The 19408-nt window shown below is 41.4% G+C and overlaps 1 protein-coding gene across 6 annotated transcripts in view, besides 2 other annotated features; it reads left to right on the top strand.

Moving 5' to 3' along the window:
* Positions 1–19408, top strand: part of PHACTR4 (phosphatase and actin regulator 4) — a 130625-nt gene that overhangs the window by 63238 nt on the left and 47979 nt on the right. The window contains exon 1 of one of the 6 annotated variants that reach the window (NM_023923.4): positions 5173–5453. The exons of the other annotated variants lie outside the window; for them this stretch is intronic. Coding sequence (NP_076412.3) covers positions 5408–5453 — 46 coding nt within the window. The 5' untranslated portion in view covers positions 5173–5407. Of the gene's footprint in view, positions 1–5172; positions 5454–19408 lie in introns of those variants that run through there. 6 annotated transcript variants of the gene reach the window in all.
* Positions 4281–4575: a silencer, noted in NCBI's record as "tiled region #2241; K562 Repressive DNase unmatched - State 8:EnhW". NCBI's record gives its function as "represses a minimal TATA promoter and a strong SV40 promoter by Sharpr-MPRA in K562 cells {active_cell/tissue: K562}" and the evidence as "EXISTENCE:reporter gene assay evidence [ECO:0000049][PMID:27701403]".
* Positions 17796–17845: a silencer, noted in NCBI's record as "silent region_540". NCBI's record gives its function as "represses an Ori minimal core promoter by ATAC-STARR-seq in GM12878 lymphoblastoid cells {active_cell/tissue: GM12878}" and the evidence as "EXISTENCE:reporter gene assay evidence [ECO:0000049][PMID:35858748]".

The raw sequence follows: 19408 nt of genomic DNA on the forward strand, positions 1-19408 counted from the left end.
TCAAGCAACCCCCGCTTGGCCTCCCAAAGTGCTGGGATTAGAGGCGTGAGCCACTGCACCTGACCTAAGGTTTCTTGTTCTTTCCCTAAGTAAAATAGGAAGAGAATCACAAATTTTAATTCTGCTACTTCCCCTTGAGGGACTAAGCTGGGGAGAATAAGTACTCTAAAAAGGGAGTATCTTATTAGCTAACAAATAACAAGAGATAGCTGTCTACTTCTTACAAAGTTAAAGTGATTCTTCCTTTTACATTTCTAAAACATAATGCATGGAAGACTAAAATGAACTCAAGGCTTTATTGTTAATTTTAATGTCATTAGTGTGCCAGTATCGTCCTACCTTTCTGCTTGTCTACTTACCAATTAGCACAGAGTAAATACTGATTGTTAGAAGAAAAATGAAACATGATGGTCAGGGAACATGTAGTGTCTTGGCACATAGGCAACAGACTTAGCATTTCTTTCTTTCTTTTTTTTCTTTTTTTCTTTTTTTTTTTTTTTGAGACAGTCTCGCCCTGTCACCCAGGCTGGAGTGCACTGGCACAATCTCAGCTCACTGCAACCTCTGCCTCCCAGGTTCAAGCAATTTTCCTGCCTCAGCCTCCTGTGTAGCTGGTACTACAGGTGCCAGCCACCACACCCGGCTACTTTTTGTATTTTTAGTAGAGACGGAGTTTTTCCATGTTGGCCAGGCTGGTCTCAAACTCCTGACCCCAGGTGATCCGCCCGCCTCGGTTTCTGAAAGTGCTGGGATTACAGGAGTGAGCCACTGCACCGGGCCTAGACTTAGCATTTCATTTTATTTTGTTTTTTATTTTATTTTTTGAGACAGTCTCGCTCTGTCACCCAGGCTAGAGTGCAATGGTGCAATCTTGGTCACTGCAACCTCCGCTTCCTGGATTCAAGCCATTCTCCTGCCTCAGCCTCCTGAGTAGCTGGGATTACAGGCTCCCGCCACCACGCCCGGCTAATATTTGTATTTTTAGTAGAGAGGGGTTTCACCATGTTGGTCAGGCTCTTCTTGAACTCCTAATCTCATGATCCGCCCACCTTGGCCTCCCAAAGTGCTGGGATTACAGGCGTGAGCCACTGCACCTGTCTAAATTTAGCATTTCTAAGAGATTAGTTGTAGAGCATGGACTTCCTTGGAAAATAAATATTTCTTTTGGAGCTTAAAAATTCTTGGCCATTTATACAAGAGTTTCAGTAAGTCCGGGAGTCAGACTAAGGATACCTGGATTTTAGTCCTGGCTCTGAGCAGGCATTTAACCTCTTTGAACCTCAGTTTCCTCCTTCTGCAAAAAGTAGGAGATTGAAATTGAGCCAAAAGATTGCTAAGAATCCTTTCTTTTTTTTTTTTTTGAGATGGAGTTTCACTCTTGTCACCCCGGCTGGAATGCAGTAGCGCTATCTTGGCTCACTGCAACCTCTGCCTCCCAGGTTCAAGTGATTCTCCTGCCACAGCCTCCTGAGTAGCTGGGACTACAGGCACGTACCACCAAGCCCAGCTAATTTTTGTATTTTTAGTAGAGACGGGATTTCACCATGTTGGCCAAGATGTTCTCAATCTCCTGACCTTGCGATCTGCCTACCCTGGCCTCCCAAAGTGCTGGGATTACAGGCATGAGCCACTGTGCCCAGCCCCTTTCATTCTTTAAGTTTTATTGACACTCTCACAATATCGTAGAATCAGCAGTGAGCCATGCCAAGATTTGGCTTTTATTTTATTTTATTTATTAGAGACAGGGCCTTACTATATTGCCCAGGCTGGTCTCAAACTCCTAGGCTCGAGGGATCCTCCTACCTTCGCCTGTCCAAATGCTGGGATTATAGGAATGAGCCACTGTGCCTGGCCTTTTACATTTGGCAGGTCGTTTTTATTTTGGCATTTAAATTTGGCAGATGGTTTTAGCAGCTATACCTAGATCCATAAATCTATCTTGTTATACTCTTGTATGGTCATGTCTACATAAATTAGATTAGAAGGTACTGTTTCTGGGCTGTGTGTGTGTGTGTATTTTCAATGTGCCCAGTTTGAACTTACCCAAATATTCAAGGTAATGCTTTTATCTGGGTCCTTCCATTTGCTTAATATTTCTATACACCAACTGGTTGTGTTCAGACTTTCTCTCTGGCCTGCTTCTTCCAACTTGCTCCCTGGAGTCATACTCTTGACCTGGCCCCTCCTTTCTCGATTTGCATTTATTGAGAGGTTTTCAGGTACCAGGAACATTACAAAGCACTTTATTTCTGTTCATGTCATTTAATCCTTACAAATTCCCTGTATTAACAATTTTTTTTTCTTCGAGACAGAGTCTCGCCCTGTTGCCCAGGCTGGAGTGCGGTGGCATGATCATGGCTCACTGCAACCTCTGCTTCCTGAGTTCAAGCGATTCTCACGCCTCAGCCTCCTGAGTATCTGAGATTACAGGCATGTGCCACCACTCCCAGCTAATTTTTGTATTTTTAGTAGAGCCAGGGTTTCACCATGTTGGCCAGGCTGGTCTCAAACTCCTGACCTCAGGTGATCTGCCTGCCTTGGCCTCCTAAAGTGCTGGGATTATAGGCGTGAGCCACCACGTCCAGCCTTGTACTAGTAATTGTTGTATACTTTTATAATACTAGAAAACTGAGACTTAGAGAGGTGAAGTAACTTGTCTAGTGTTAACACTTAATAAGTGGTAGAGCTGGAATTAAAATTTCAATCTGACTCCAAAGCTCATGCTCTTAAGCAATATACTGTGTTAGTTCCATGATGATGATGATGGTGATAACGATGTTGTTAATTACAATATGTTGAGCACCTCCTGAGTGACAAGCAATGCATTGCCACCTTTTGCATTCCCATTTTACAATAGTGGAAACTGCTTTTGCTCATGGTCTGCTTTTAGGCTAATAAGTATAAGTACCTAGGTTCCAAAGTATTGGGCATTATTGAATTGTGCTTTCAGTGCATTTTTCCTTTTACTTTCTTTCCTGTTTTAATGGTCAACATCATAATGTTTTTCTAATTACTACCAGTATTAACAATTTAATGTTGTCTGAATGTTTCTGTACTTTTTTCCCTTACTGATGCCTTAGCATTGAGGTTTTCTTATTTGTTACCTTTGCTGTTTTTTCTCTATCAAAAGCAGATAATGGGGCTAAGATAATAGAGAAGGGATTGTACCAAGGACAAGCTAAGTACAGGAAAGTTCAGATGCTAGAAATCTTTCTGGGATCTCAGTTTGGAGAATAAAGATTTAAATGAAAAACTCCCATTTTTTGGTAGCTGTCTTTTTTTAAAAAATTATTTTAATTTTTTTTTTTAGAGACAGGGCTCACTGTGTTGCCGAGGCTGGACTCAAACTCTTGGTGTCAAGTGATCCTCCCACCTCAGCCTCCTGAGTAACTGAGACTACAGGTGCACGCCACTCCACCCAGTGGTAGCTGTCTTTTATTGAAGGAATATTAGGGCTTTGGTACTTACTAGCTTGGTGATATTAGACACAGGATTTGACCTTACTAGCCCTAGTTTTCTTACCTGAAAATAGGGTAAATAAATATACCTCACAATGCATGGTTAGTTGTGGTGATGATTAAATGCAGTAACAAGTGTAAAACTCCTTAATATATTACTCAGAATTGTTAGCTTCCTCTTTTACCTTCAGATGTTAGTGGAATAATCCAGGTTATGTGGAGGTTATGTTAAGGTTGTGTTATGTGTGTCTTTTTTACATTTAGAAAATTTAGTGTTAGTATACTAAATAAAAATTTATCAAGCTGTATCCTTAATATTTATGTACTTGGCTATATGTAAGTTAGTTACGGATAAAAAAGGAAAAATCAATGTGCAAACTGGACGTTCATTTGCTGCATGTGATTAGCTGATCTTTCCATGTATTATGCCCAGCATGTAGGGCTACTCTTTGTAATTTTTTATTCCCCAAGATCATATGGAAATTATTGAGTTTTAGCAAGAAGAGACTGTTATATAATACCTTCCAAATATTTATTTCGTTTATTGTTTTAGTAAGCAGATTTTCAGAAATATTTGTTTGTATTCTCAGAAAAGGTATATTCAATCCTAAAATACTGTTTCTAATGTTATTAATTCCCAGTACATAGATCTCACCTTGCTTTAGGCATGCCCACCTACAGGTAGGAAATAAAATTTTAGAATAAGCAGCATGTCTTAGTCTGTTCAGGCTATTATAACAGAATACTATAGACTGGGGGGCTTAAACAACAAACATTTCTTTCTTTCTTTTATTTTTATTTATTTATTTTTGAGACAGGGTCTTGCATTGTTGCCTAGGCTGGAGTGCAGTGGTGTAATCACAGCTCACAACTCACCTCCTGGGCTCAGGCAATCCTCCCACCTCACCTCCCCTCCCTCCAGTAGCTGGGACTACTGGCACATGCCACCATGCCTGGCTAATTTTTAAATTTTTTATAGAGACAGAGTCTCATTATGTTACCCACGCTGATCTCGAGCTCTTGGGCTTAAGTAATCCTTCAGCCTTGGCCTCCCAAAGTGCTAGGATTACAGGCATGAGTCACCAGGCCCAGCCACAGACATTTATTTCTAACAGTTCTGGATACTGGGAAGTCCAAGGTCAAGGTGCCAGGAGACTGGGTATCTGTGAGGGCCTTCTTCCTGGTTTCCAGACAGTTGTCTTCTTGCGTAGCCTCACATGATGGAAAAAGAGAACTCTCTGGGTCTTTTTTGATAAAGTACTAATCCTATTAGTGAGGGCTTTAAAACCCTCAATGACCTAATTATCTCCCAAAGAACCCATTTCCTATCACCATCACATTGGTCATTAGAATTTCCATATATAAATTGTAAGGGGACACAAACATTCAGTCCATAACACAGTGAAATCTGATACTTTTGAGGTAAACCTGTGTCTAAAACACACCTTTGAATGGACTACTGCTCCTATTAGCCTTTTACTCAAAACCATCCTGGTGTTTTTGTGTGATTAAATTTGTAAATTCTTTGGTGTACTCTTGAGCAGGCTCCCTTTCTTCTGTGACTCAGAGCCTGGAGCGTTGCAGCCAAGCTCAAAAGTCAGGAACGGGGGTGTGGACTTTTGGGCTATGCCAGTCAGCAGCCAGAATGTGGTTGGCAGTCTCCTCCCCTTCCTGCACTTCAGCTCTACACAGTGTGCATTCTGGAATGACAGGCATTCCTGTGTGAAGAGTGCCAGTGTGAAGACAGTTTTGTAAGAACTGCAAGTGCTCAGGCTGTATGGGAAACAGAAACTTCAGCAGATGAACTGACCTTATGCCATTTCCTGATGTTTGGCAGTGACACTGAAAGAGGACCGCATGTCCCCTCTTTATGTGGATTTATCTTTTATGAAAAGTTTGCTTTTGTCCGGGACAGTTTGTTGTCGTGAGATACATCAGACAATATAATCATGGGACAAGCTGATGTCTCCAGACCGGTAAATCCAGATGCAGTTGGTGAGTAATAGAAGGCAGAGAAACAGAAAATCTTGACAGAAGCAAGGCAGATTTACAGGTGAACTTGAGTATTTATGTGAAGTTAAACACGAGAATGTTGATGATCCCAACTTTGAAATGTTTATGTTTGTGAAGAATGAATGAAGTCATGCGGAACATGGCGAGAAACTTTAAAAAATTAAGTTTTTTAAAACTTAAAAACTTAAATTCAGTTTATTAATTTATCGCTCACAGTTTTGTTTTACTTGATCTCTTTGAAGTTTTTTATATTATATTGCTAAGGAATTATCTGTTAATTTCTTGCCGTTACTAAAGATAAATGCTACAGAAACTTATTTAGAATTCAGAGATATTTTGTTAGTATTTTACAGAACTTGGAAAATAGAACTGTTGACTTCTATAGACAGAACCACTTTTAAGAATTAAGTTTTTAGACTTGGTTATACATTTTCCTAATAAGTCTCAGGCATTTTCCATTGCACTAGTGTTTCCGTTTCTCTTAAGTCAACACTTTGATATAAACTTTTCTGAAGTTAGTACTTTACATTTGAAATGTTACTAAGGGATAGCTAGAGAGCAAGCTGATTGTGAGTATAGCTCAGAGTTTCAAATCTTCTATGTGAAATGGTAGTCACTTGTCACTGCAAGCTCATTTTCCTAATCTTGTAGGGTTTTATATGACAATCATAAATTGGGAAAAACAGTTTTAAGCAGATGTTCATTAAAGGGTTGCTTAAGTATAAGCAAAACTAGGGAAAGCCTGTGAATCATTTCTAGACATTATAATATTTAAGAAAGATTTATACCTTCACTTTGATTTATGGAGCAGCAGAAAACATGTTCAGTCCTAGGCTGCATTTTTTGTTTTTTGTTTTTCAGAAACAAAAAATGTTGGTGACTTAAAAAAAAAGCATAAAGTGTGGAAACACAGGTAACACTCCCAAATGTTTCATAATGTAGTGAGATTTTGTTTCTAAAGGTAGTATTTTCACCTGAGAGCTTCCTAGATGAAATATCTTCAGTATTTTTCATGTATTATTGAAACTGAGGCACATGGATCACAAAGTGAGTCATTCAGCAACAGATTTTCAGAACTGAAGTCAGGACTTGACTCACTTTACCTTGATCACTAGGGCTGTGTCTTTATCAATTCATTAACTCATTTAAAAAAATGAAATGTTTCATAAATAGAAAAAGGTATAAAGAAAAATATAAAGAATCATCTGGGGCCACTCCCCAGCCTAACAGATGAAATTTAGAACATAAAGATAAACCTCACACTATCCTTCTCTTCTGCATTCCCTTCTGATGACATTTTGCTTCTTTGTTTCCAGAATTAAACACTCTCCTATATTTGATAAATAACTCACTTTTGGGCTGTAAATTCTCCTGTGGTTTCTACGCCAAACATTAGTTGTTTGTTAGCAAGTATAGTAAGGACTCAATGCTAGGCATTTATCTATGAGATGGAAATGAAAGGGCTTTGACAAACAATAAATTGTAAAGCAAGTAAAATTTAGTGGTGAGTGGTGGTATTTAAGAAGAATGCCCATCTAAGATCTATATACTGTATTAAAAACTTCATCTGAGGCCGGGCGCGGTGGCTCACGCCTGTAATCCCAGCACGTTGGGAGGCCGAGGCAGGCGGATCATGAGGTCAGGCGATCGAGACCATTCTGGCTAACACGGTGAAACCCCGTCTCTACTAAAAATACAAAAAAATCAGCTGGGCGTGGTGGCGGGCGCCTGTAGCCCCAGCTACTCGGGAGGCTGAGGCAGGAGAATGGCGTGAACCCGGGAGGCGGAGCTTGCAGTGAGCCGAGATCGTGCCACTGCACTCCAGCCTGGGCGACAGAGCGAAACTCCGTCTCAAAAAGAAAAAAAAAAAAAAAAAAAAGTTCATCTGAGTAACGTTTGGTATTTGTATGCTTCTGAAAAAAAGTAAGAATCAAATTCATCAATTCTTTTTTTTTTTTTTTTTTTGAGACGGAGTCTTACTCTGTCGCCCAGGCTGGAGTGCAGTGGCTTGATCTCGGCTCACTGAAAGCTCCGCCTCCCGGGTTCACGCCATTCTCCTGCCTCAGCCTCCCGAGTAGCTGAAATTCATCAATTCTATTCCTACCAGTAGCCCTAATAAAAGACATTTGAGGAAGAAATAGAAATCAGGAGCTTAACTAAGTTTTTTATGTTTCCTCTGGATTTAATTTTGGGGTTTTATTTCCTATTACCTAGATAATAAGTAGTTGACTATCAGCAGTTTTCATGGACTGACTCCATTATTATGCTATTTATAATTCAGGATGTATTCTGTTTGAGCAGATCAGGACCAGGTTATGAAGGCTTAACTGAAAACCTTGAGGACTATACCAATTCCAATAAAGGTTTTCACCAAACAACAGTTTCTTAATTTAATTTTCAAAGCCTTTATGTGGGTAGCTGTTTGGAAAATCTCACCATTTTACTTGGAATGATAAATATACAAAGTAAATTAAAACCTAAATTATCTGTTTACTATTCTAGGCCTATAATACAGCACTTAGTTTTGAGCTTTGAAATTAATAGTACTAGATTTAGCAAGTCAACTGATGCAAAACACATGAATGAATATATTGAATTGATTTATTATTACTTTCAGGCACTGTGAATAACATAGAGGCCCCTATGTAGATATTATTCATGTCTATGCCCTCAAGAAGTTTGTCTTCTAGTTGAGAATTTAAAATATGAAAAAGTATCCAAAATATTTGTAAAATTTTTTTAAAGATTAAGGCATACTTCTTTTTTTTTAATTTAATTTTATTTTTTTTTTACTTAAAAAATATTTGTGTGTGTGAAAATGGGGTCTCACTGTCGTGACCAGGCTGGTCTCGAACTCTAGCCTCAATTGATCCTCCCACCTCGGGCTCCCAAAGTGCTAGGATTACAGGTGTGAGCCACCAGTCCTGCAGTTAAAAAAAGGACCCACTCCTTTAAGTTAATTGATTCCCTTGACTTGTAATGGAAGGCCAGCGCTATTAACCAAAGAGTCTGCTTTCAAATAAATAACCTTTGCATGAGGATTCATATGCAAATTTATGAGATGTTATAACCATATCCAACCAGAGTTTCTACTGTAGGATCTTTCTAACAACTGGTGAACTGAGTATTTGAATGTACATTAGGAATCTATGCTGTGGTATCCATTCAAGGAAATAAGTTCTCATCAGTTCATTGAAAAAAATTAAATAAAATACGTTCATAGGAGAAGCATGTAGATTTATCTAGATAAAACATTGCAATCAGGGCAGAGTGCATTGGTTCGTGTCTATAATCCCAGCACTTTGGGAGGCTGACGCAGGAGAATCACTTGAGTCCAGGAGTTTGGGATCAGCCTGGGCAACATAGGGCAACACCGTTTCTACAAAAATAAAAATTTAGCCACTGTGGTGGTACTTATCTGTAGTCCCAGCTACTTGGGAAGCTTAGGTGGGAGGATCGCTTGAGCCTGGTAGGTTGAGGCTGCAGTGACTCATGATTGTACCTCTGCACTCCAGCCTGGGTGTCAGAGGGAGACACTGTCTCAAGAAAAAGAAACACAAACTTTCAAATCCTACTTTGTAGTTCTTAATGAACATAAAAACTGTTTTTTTGCTCACCAAAATTCTTTACTATGTGTCATATTAAAACAACTAGCTAATTATCACATATCCTTAAATTAGGCACAAGACCGAAGAATTTTTTCAATTTATTTTTTATTTTTTAAATGTATTTTTTTGGCTGGGCGCAGTGTCTCATGCCTGTAATCCCAGCACTTTGGGAGGCCAAGGCGGGTGAATCACGAGGTCAGGAGATGAGACAACCCTGGCCAACATGGTGAAACCCTGTCTCTACTAAAAATACAAAAATTAGCTGAGCATGGTGGCGCGTGCCTGTAGTCCCAGCTACTCAGGAGGCTGAGACAGGAGAATCGCTTGAAACAAGGAGGCGGAGGATGCAGTGAGCCGAGATCGTGCCACTGCACTCCAGCCTGGCGACAGAGTGAGACTCTGTCTCAAAAAAAAAGAAAAAAAAGTTTTTGTTTGTTTGTTTGTGTATTTATTTATTTACTTTTTTTTGAGATGAAGTCTCACTCTGTCACCCAAGTTGGAGTGCAGTGGCGTGATTTCGACTCACTGCAACTTCTGCTTTCCAGGTTCAAGTGATTCTCCTGTCTCATCCTCCCGAGTAGCTGGGACTACAGGTGCCCACCACTAAGCCTGGCTAATTTTTGTATTTTTGTAGAGACGGGGTTTCGCCATGTTGGCCAGGTTGCTTTCAAACTCCTGACCTCAAGTGATCCGCCTGCCTTGGCTTCCCAAAGTGCTGGGATTACAAGTGTGAGCCACTGTGCCTGGCAAATTTTTTTTTTAATTGAAAATAATTGTACCTGTTCATGGGCTACATAATGGATATTTCCATATGTATGATGTGATTAGATTAGGGTAATTAGCATATTCATCATCTCCAACATGTATTTATTTATATTGGGAAGGTTGAAATCCTCCTCAGCTATTTGAAACTACATATTATTAACTATAGTCATTCTGCAGTGGCATAGAACACTAGAACTTTTTCCTCTTATCTAGCTGTAATTTTGTATTCTTTAACAAATCTTTCCCTACCCATCCCTTCCCATTATCTCTCCCAGCCTCTAGTAGCCTCTGTTGTACTTTTTACTCCTATGAGATCAACTTTTTTTTAGCTTCTATGTATGAGTGAGAACATGTGGTGTTAAACTTCCTGTTCCTAGCTTATTTAACTTAAAATAATGTCCTTAGTTCCATCCATGTTGCTGAGAATGACAGGATTTCATTGTCTTTCTTTCTCTCTCTCTCTTCTTTCTTTCTTTCGTTCTTTCGTCTCAACTCTGTCACCGAGGCTGGAGTGCAGTGGCGCGATCTCGGCTCACTGCAACCTCCACCTCCCAGGTTCAAGCAATTCTCCTGCCTCAGCCTCCCGAGTAGCTGGGACTACGGGTGCACACTGTCATACCCAGCTAATTCTTTTTTTTTTTCTTGAGACAGAATCCCACTCTGTCACCCAGGCTGGAGTACAGTGACACAATCATAGCTCACTGCAGCTTCAGCCTCCTAGATTCAAGCGATCCTCCCCCCTCAGCCTCCTAAGTAGCTGGGACTACAGGCACATGCCACCACACCTGGCTAGTTTTTTTTATTTTTTGACGAAACGAGGTCTCACTCTCTTTCCCTGGCTGGTCTCAAACTCCTGGACCTGGACTCAAGTGATCTTCCTGCCTCAGCCTTCCAAAGTGCTGGGATTACAGTTGTGAGCTAGTACACCTGGCTCATTCTTTTTTATGGCTAAATAGTATTCCATTTTGTATATATACCACATTTTCTTTATCCATTCATCTGTTGTTGAACACCTAGGTTGATTCCATATCTTGGCTGTTGTTGAGTAGTACTACAGTAAACATGGAAGTGCAGATATCTCTTCAGTATAATGATTTCCTTTCCTTTGGATATATTCCCAGTAATGGTATTGCTGGATCATATGGTAGCGCTATTTGTAGTTTTTCTTTCTTTTGAGGACCCTCCATACTGTTCCCCATAGTGGCTATACTAGTTTACATTCCCACCGACAGTGTATAGTGTTCCCTTTACTCTGTACCCTCACCAGCACTGGCTACTTTTTGTCTTTTTGATAATAGCCTCCTAACTGGGGTGAGATGATACCTCATTGTGGTTTTGATTTGCATTCACCTGATGATTTGTTATGTTGAGCATTTAAAAAAATATATTTGGCTTTTTTTTTTTTTTTTTTTTTTTTTTTTTTGAGACAGAGTCTTGCTCTGTCGCCAGGCTGGAATGCAGTGGCGTGAGCAGTCTTGGCTCACTGCAACCTCCGACTCCCTGGTTCAGGCTGTTCTCCTGCCCCAGCCTCCCGAGTAGCTGGGATTACAGGCACGTGCCACCATGACCAGCTAATTTTTGTATTTTTAATACAGACAGGGTTTCACCATGTTGGCCAGGATGGTCTTGATCTCCTGACCTTGTGATCCGCCCACTTCAGCCTCCCAAAGTACTGGGACTACAGGCATAAGCCACAGCCCTTGGCCTATTTGGGCATTTTTATGTCTTCTTTTGAGAAATGTCTCTTCAGATCATTTGGTCTTTCCCATTTTTATATTATTTATTTTTTTATTTTTATTATTATTATTTTTTGAGACAGAGTCTCGCTGTGTTGGCCAGGCTGGAGTGCAGTGGCGCGATCTCGGCTCACTGCAAGCTCCACCTCCCGGGTTCACGCCATTCTCCTGCCTCAGCCTCCCAAGTAGCTAGGACTACAGGCGCCTGCCACCGCACCCAGCTAATTTTTTTTTTTTTTTTTTGTATTTTTAGTAGAGACGGGGTTTCACCGTGTTAGCCAGGATGGTCTCGATCTCCTGACCTCGTGATCCACTTGCCTCGGCATCCCAAAGTGCTGGGATTACAGGTGTGAGCCACTGCGCCCAGCCTCCCATTTTTATATTATTTAACTATTTATTTATTTATTTTATTTTTTTGAGGCAGAGTCTTTCTCTGTTGCCCAGGCGGAGTGCAGTGGCACGATTTCAGCTCACTGCAACCTCCACCTCTCGGGTTCAAGCAATTCTCTGCCTCAGCCTCCTGAGTAGCTGGGATTACAGGCGCCTGCCAGCATGCCCGACTAATTTTTGTATTTTAGGTAGAGACGGGGTTTCACCATCTTGGCCAGGCTGGTCCTGAACTCCTGACCTCATGATCCACCTGCCTCAGCCCCCCAAAGTGCTGGGATTACAGGCGTGAGCCACCTCACCTGGCCATATTTAATTATTCTTTTTTAAGACAGAGTCTCGCTATGTTGCCCAGGCTGGTCTTGAACTCCTGGGCTCATGCGATCCTCCCACTTTGGCCTCCCAAAGTGCTAGGATTACAAACATAAGTCACTGCACCCAGCCCTTCCTAATTCTAATTAGAAGGACCAAAGATTTTTAATAAATTCTCTCCAACCATTTGGCTTGGAACTTTCCTTCTCTGTCTTTCCATTTTACCTCTCTTTTTTTTTCCTTTTTGCCCCTTCATTTACCCTAATTCACTAATTAACTTTTCCCCCCACTTTTCTTTTGCATAATAATATATTGCTATAAAAGATACTGTATGTTCTCTTTCCTACATTCCTTTTCCATAACCATTTGATTTATTTTCTCTGAAACTTGGAGTTATGGGGTTCTCACCCTTATGATACTGGAAGCAGTTTTGGGGAACGTGATTTGGAAATATATCATCCCCCATCTCTACAAAAAAAATGTAACAATTAGTCAGGTGTGGTGGTGCACACCTGCAGTCCCAGCTGTTCAGGAGGCTGAGATGGGAGGATCACTTGAGCCCAGGAGGTTGAGGCTGCAGTGAGCCATGATCATGTCACTGCACTGCAGCCTGGCTAACAGAGCGAGACTGTGTTTGAAAAACAAAAAAGAAAGGAAAAGAAATATATTATCACTTAGAGGCAAAATCCTAAGGAGATTGCAGGATGAATAAAATTTAACATAGCTACATAACAACAATAAAACTGGAGTAAATAATAGGTTAATTTAAAATAAAGTACTTCATGAGATTTTGGAGAAAAAGGCTTAGTAGTATTTGGTTATCAGAATTATAAAGACATTTCTCATACCTGTCTGCTGTTTATCTAACAGTAAATGCTTTCTTTTAAAAAAGGAGAAACAGGCATACTTTCCTCATGTAATCCAGTGTTCAGGAGGAGGTGGCAATATAGGGGTCTGTCATAAACTCCTTAAAAGATTCTCTGTTATCAAATTTGGACTACCAACCAAAACTTATTGATCCCTCTCTCTGCTCCAGTGGATTTTCTAAATAGGCCATTAATAAGGTTTGGATCTAGGTCCCCAACCAGATCCCATGTTAAATTGTAATCCCCAGTGTTGGAAGTGGGACCTGGTGGGAGGTGATTGGGGTGGATTTCTCACGAATGGTTTAACACCATCCACTTAGTACTGTCCTCAAGATAGTAAGTTCTCATGAGATCTGGTCATTTAAAAGTGTGTGGAGGCTGGGTGCAGTGGCTCATGCCTGTAATCCCAGCACTTTGGGAGGCCGAGGCAGGTGGATCATGAGGTCGGGAGTTCAAGACCAGCCTGGCCAACATGGTGAAACCCTGTCTTTACTAAAACTACAAAAATTAGCCGGGCATGGTGGCGTGTGCCTGTAGTCCCAGCTATTCAGGAGGCTGAGGCAGGAGAATCCCTTGAACCCTGGAGGCGGAGGTTGTCGTGAGCCAGGATTGCGCCACTGTACTCCAGCCTGGGCAACAGAGTGAGGCTCCATCTCAAAAAAAAAGAAAAGTGTGTGGCACCTGCCCCCTTGCTCTCTTGCTCCTGTTCTGGGCCATGTGACGTGTCTACTCCCCCTTCATCTTCCACCATGATTGTAAGTTCCTGCAGCTTCCCCCGAAGCCAGGCAGATACTAGCATCATTCTTCCTATACAGACTGCAGAAACATGAGCCAATTAAGCCTCTTTTCTTTATAAATTACCCAGTCTCAGGTATTTCTTTTTATTTATTTATTTATTTATTTATTTAGATAGAGTCTCACTTTGTTGCCCAGGCTGGAGTCCAGTGGTGCGATCTCAGCTCACTGCAACCTCTACCTCCTGGGTTCAAAGTAATTCTCCTGCCTTGGCCTCCTGAGTAGCTGGGACTACAGGCGCGTGCCACCAAGCCTGGCTACTTTTTGTATTTTTAGTAGAGACGGGGTTTCGCCGTATTGGCCAGGCTGGTCTTGAACTCCTGACCTCAGGTGATCCTCCTGCCTTGGCCTCCCAAAGTGCTGGGATTACAGGTGTGAGCCACTGTACCTGGCCTCAGGTAATTCTTTATAGCAATGCAAGAATGGACTAATAGACCTATTATCACAACCTACATATGTATTTCCTCTTTCTTTTTTCTTTTTTTTTTTTTTGAGACAGTCTCACTCTGTCGCCCAGGCTGGAGTGCAGTGGCACGATCTCGACTTACTACAACCTCTGCCTCCTGGATTCAGGTGATTCTCCTGCCTCAGCCTCCCAAGTAGCTGGCATTACAGGTGCCCACCACCATGCCTGGCTATGTATTTCGTCTTTCTACTTGCAAGTAAACTTTGGAAAGTTTGAAGTTTTTTTTCCATGAGTGAATAGCTTATATTCTGGCCCTTCACTATAAAAACATACCCTTAACCTGGAATTTTTTGTCAGAACAGTGTGCACATTAAGTTGCCAGTGGTAAAGCAACTTCACTTCTTGATACAATCATAGGCAGAAAACTATTTTTCCAGAGGTAGAATCTCAGACATAACTGTACCTGCAAGTTCAGAGAGAGACCTTCCACCTGACTATCTTCTCCTGACGGCTTTACCGAGTTCTTTCTAATTCCCAAGGGTCAGATCTATGCAATATTTCCACAGGAAGTTGTGGGCCTTCTCTATACAAAGCCTGCTTTGTTCATTAGTGGCAGGTTTATTTTCTGTAATTTTGCCGAAGTTTTCTGAAACAGTTGTTTAAAGCCAATAATAATCCTCTTTTAGAAGGCAAAAATGAATAAGTACAGTAGTGTAAATACCATAAATGAATGTTCTACGTTTACAATGTTCTGATACTGTGAAAAGGTTGTTTATAGCAAATCTGTTTCCAGCTAGGTGGGCTTAAAAACAGACTAAACCATTATATTATGAAGATATTTGGTACTTCTTCACAGTGAAGTATGTATACCTTGTTGAATAAAATCATACATTAAAATTTTGGACAAATAGGCTGGGCACGGTGGCTCATGCCTGTAATCCTAGCACTTTGGGAGGTCGAAGCGGATAGATCACTGTTGGCCAGGCTGGCTGGAACTCCTGACCTCAGGTGATCACACCATTGCACTCCAGCCTGGGTGACAGAGCAAGACTTTGTTTCAAAAAAAAAGAAAAGAAAAGAAAGGAAAGGAAAGGGGAAAGGAAAAAGGAAAGGAAAGGAAAGGAAAGGAAAGGAAACCTGATAAGGTGGCCGGGCGCTGTGTCTTATGCCTGTAATCCCAGCACTGTGGGAGGCCGAGGAGGGCGGATCATGAGGTCAGGAGATCGAGACCATCCTGGCTAACACAGTGAAATCCCATCTCTACTTAAAAAAAAAAAAAAAAAAAAAAATTAGCTGGGCATGGTGGTGGGCGCCTGTAGTCCCAGCTACTTGGGAGGCTGAGGCAGGAGAATGGCGTGAACCCGGGAGGTGGAGCTTGCAGTGAGCCGAGATCGTGCCACTGCACTCCAGCCTGGGCGACAGAGCGAGACTCCATCTCAAAAAAAAAAAAAAAAAAAAAAAACCTGATAAGGTGTAAAACATACAGAGAGTTCATACAGATCCAATAACTTTGTTACTTATTACCAAGTCAAGTAAAGCGGGGGGCGGGGGTGGGGGGACAAGGCATGGTAGCTCACACACTTTGAGAGGCTGAGGCAGGAGGATTGCTTGAGACCAGGAGTTCGAGACCAGCCTGGGCAACATAGCGAAACCTGATCTCTACTAAAAAAATTAGCCAGATAAGGTGGTCTGCACCTGTAGTTCTATCTTCTCAGAGGCTGAGGCAGGAAGATTGCTTGAGCCCAGGAGTCCAAGGTTGCAGTGAGTTATGATCATGCCATTGTATTCCAAGCTGGGTGAAAGAGTGAGACACTGTCTCAAAACAAAACAACAACAACAACAACAACTGGCTGTGCCAGGTGCAGTGGTGCACCCCTAGAGCCCCAGTGACTTGAGAGGCTGAAGCAGCAGGATTGCTTGAGACCAGGAGTTTGAGGCTGCACTGTGCCATGATCGCGCCCATTAATAGCCACTGTACTCTAGCCTGGGTAACATACCCCATATCTAAAAAATAAAAATATATATGTATAATAAAATAAATAATTGGTTGTAAATCTAATTCTAAAATTAACATTATCTTTGACCTAGGGCATATTGTTTAATCCTGTTTTATCTCATATCTCCATCAAGTTATGCAGGTATAATATGTATCTATAGCAAATAGTTAATGAATACTTTATCCGAAGATGAAAGGTGCTAAGTGGTTTTTATAAATATCATACATTTATTTAAAAATCACAGCCAATGGCCCAGTGCTGTGGCTCACACCTGTAATCCCAGCACTTTGGGAGGCCAAAGTGGGTGGATCACCTGAGGTCAGGAGTTTGAGACCAGCCTGGCCAACATGGTGAAACCCTGTCTCTACTAAAAATACAAAAGTTAGCCAGGCGTGGTGGTGGGCACCTGTAATCCCAGCTACTTGGGAGGCTGAGACAGGAGAATCCCTTGAACCCAGGAGGCAGGGGTTGCAGTGAGCTGAGATCGTGCCATTGCCCTCCAGCCAGGGTGACAGAGTGACACTCTGTATAAAAAAAAAAAAAATCACCCCTGAAATTCATATGAAACAACTACACTTGCACTTAAAAACTTCAATTAAATATTTACTAGGAAAAATATGGTGGTTGAAGAAACTACTAGAACTCTGCATAATTAATGATGTAAGAAACAAGCCTATGATATGTGAGGTGCTACAACTTGAATGAGGGAGTAAGTAGTTTAAATACCAGGCCTGGTTTCAGGGTACTACTCAAACAGGAAACTCCAAACTGTAATTTGGTTAGTTATCTTCCACTCCCAGCCTCCACCCCCTCCAAAAAACACCAAGACTGTCAACTCTGTGACGTGCTTTCCTAATGGCCTGTAGCTACATGACTCAAAGAAAAAGGTGTTTTCTTTGGAACACACAATTGTAAAACTATACCCAGCATCCTACACCCTGATTTCTGGCAAACAAAGGAAAACTACCTTTTTTTTTTTTTTTCACTCATAGAAAACAGAATGGGGCCATAGGCCATTTAAAATGCCATAACTAGTTTAAACAGAAACAACAGTCTATCCAAATGTGACTGCATGCCTATATGTTCTCTGTCAAATTGGAAATTAGAGGGAGCATTTTATAAAATCAGATGCTGAGAACAAAGATTTATGTGCAGAATTGGCGTATGAACAGTTTCAGGCCCATCTTTCTTAGTCCTTTATTAGTATAAAACAAATTTGGGTGTACTTATATAATTTTTTAAAAAACAGTGATGATTTCTGGATACCTGAGTATATTTTTTGTTTTTGTTTTTTTTGGTTGTTTGTTTGTTTGTTTTGAGGCAGGTTCTCCCTCTGTCACCCAGGTTGTAGTACAGTGGTATGATCACAGCTCACTGCAACCTCAACCACCTGAGCTTAAGCAGTTCCCTCGCCTTAGCCTACCGAGTATCTGGGACTGCAGGTGCATGCCACCACGCCCAGCCAATTGTTGTGTGTGTGTGTGTGGTTTTCGTTTTGTTTTGTTTTTGAGAGGGAGTCTTGCTCTGTGGCCCATGCTGGAGTGCAGTGGAGTTGTCTCAGCTCACTGCAGCCTCTGCCTCCCGGGTTCAAGAGATTCTCATGCCTCAGCCTCCCCAGTAGCTGGAACTACAGGCATGTACCACCACACCCAGCTTTTTTTTTTTTTTTTTTTTGTATTTTTAGTAGAAACAGGGTTTCATGTTGGCCATGCTGGTCTCCAACTCCTGACCTCAAGTGACCCGCCCACCTCGGCCTCCCAAAATGCTAGGATTATAGGCACGAGCCACCGCACCCAGCCTAATTTTTGTATTTTTGTAAAGATGATGTCTCAGTATGTTGCCCAGGCTGGTCTTGAACTCCTGGGTTTAAGCAATCCACCCACCTGGCCTTCCAATGTGCTGGGATTACAGGCGTGAGCCACTGCATCCAGCCTACTCTTTGTTCTGTAATGTATTCATCTGTCAGTTTCTCTTTGTTTCTATTACAGTTTCTAAGCATTGCAATTGAATCCTCCTGTCAAACAGAAATTCATACTAAGAAGCTTGAAGCTTGAACTATTGTAGCAGGATTTTTTTTTTTTTTAATTTTAGATACAGGGTATTGCTGTGTTGCCCAGGCTGGAGTGCAGTGGCTATTCACAGGTGCAATGATACATATCACAATACAGCCTCAACTCCTAGACTCAAGCAATCTTCCTGCCTCAGCCTCCTGAGTAACTAGGACAACAGGTGCGCATCACTGTGCCCTGCCCAGTGTTATTGTAGCAGTTTTAGAGATAAATGGCTTAATTAGATCTAATCAGCCACTGCTATGAAGCACTTATGCATTAATTTTTTTCTTTGAGACAGGGTCTCACTTGTTGCCCAGGCTGGAGTGCAGTGGCACAATCACAGCTCACTACAGCCTCAACCTCCTCAGATCAAAGGATCCTCCTGCCCCAGCCTCCCAAGTAGCTAAGACTATAGGCAAGCACCACACTTGGCTAATTTTTTTTTTTTGTAGAGGCAGGGTCTCCCTATGTTGCTCAAGCTGATCTTAAACTCCTGGGCTCAAGTGATCCCCACTACCTCGACCTCCCAGAGTGCTAGGATTAAAAGCATGAGCCACCATGCCTGGCAAATTTATGCATTCTTCAAAACTCTTTATTATACAGCTAAAACACTTTTACCTGGCATATTTAGATCTTCATTAAATTTGGTTTCTAGCTCCTTTAGCACAATATTTTACTTGTGGCAAACTAGGAGAATATACTTAAAAGAACTCTTAGAATCCAGATTACAGTTGACCTTTAAACAACACAGGTTTCAACTGTGTGGGTTCTTATGTGTGGATGTTTTTCAATAAATGTATTGACAGATTGTTTGGAGATTTACAACAATTTGAAAAAAAAAACTCACAGGCAGACCAGATGTGGTGGCTTTTGCCTGTAATCCCAGCACTTTGGGAATCTGAGGCAAGAGGATTACTTGAGGCCAGGAGTTCAAGGTCGACCTGGGCGACATAGTGAGACCCCATCTCTACAAAAAATTAAAAAATTAGCCAGGTGTGGTGGCACATGCCTGTT

Source organism: Homo sapiens, chromosome 1, assembly GCF_000001405.40.
Source record: "Homo sapiens chromosome 1, GRCh38.p14 Primary Assembly".
NCBI classification, from domain to species: Eukaryota; Metazoa; Chordata; class Mammalia; order Primates; family Hominidae; genus Homo; species Homo sapiens.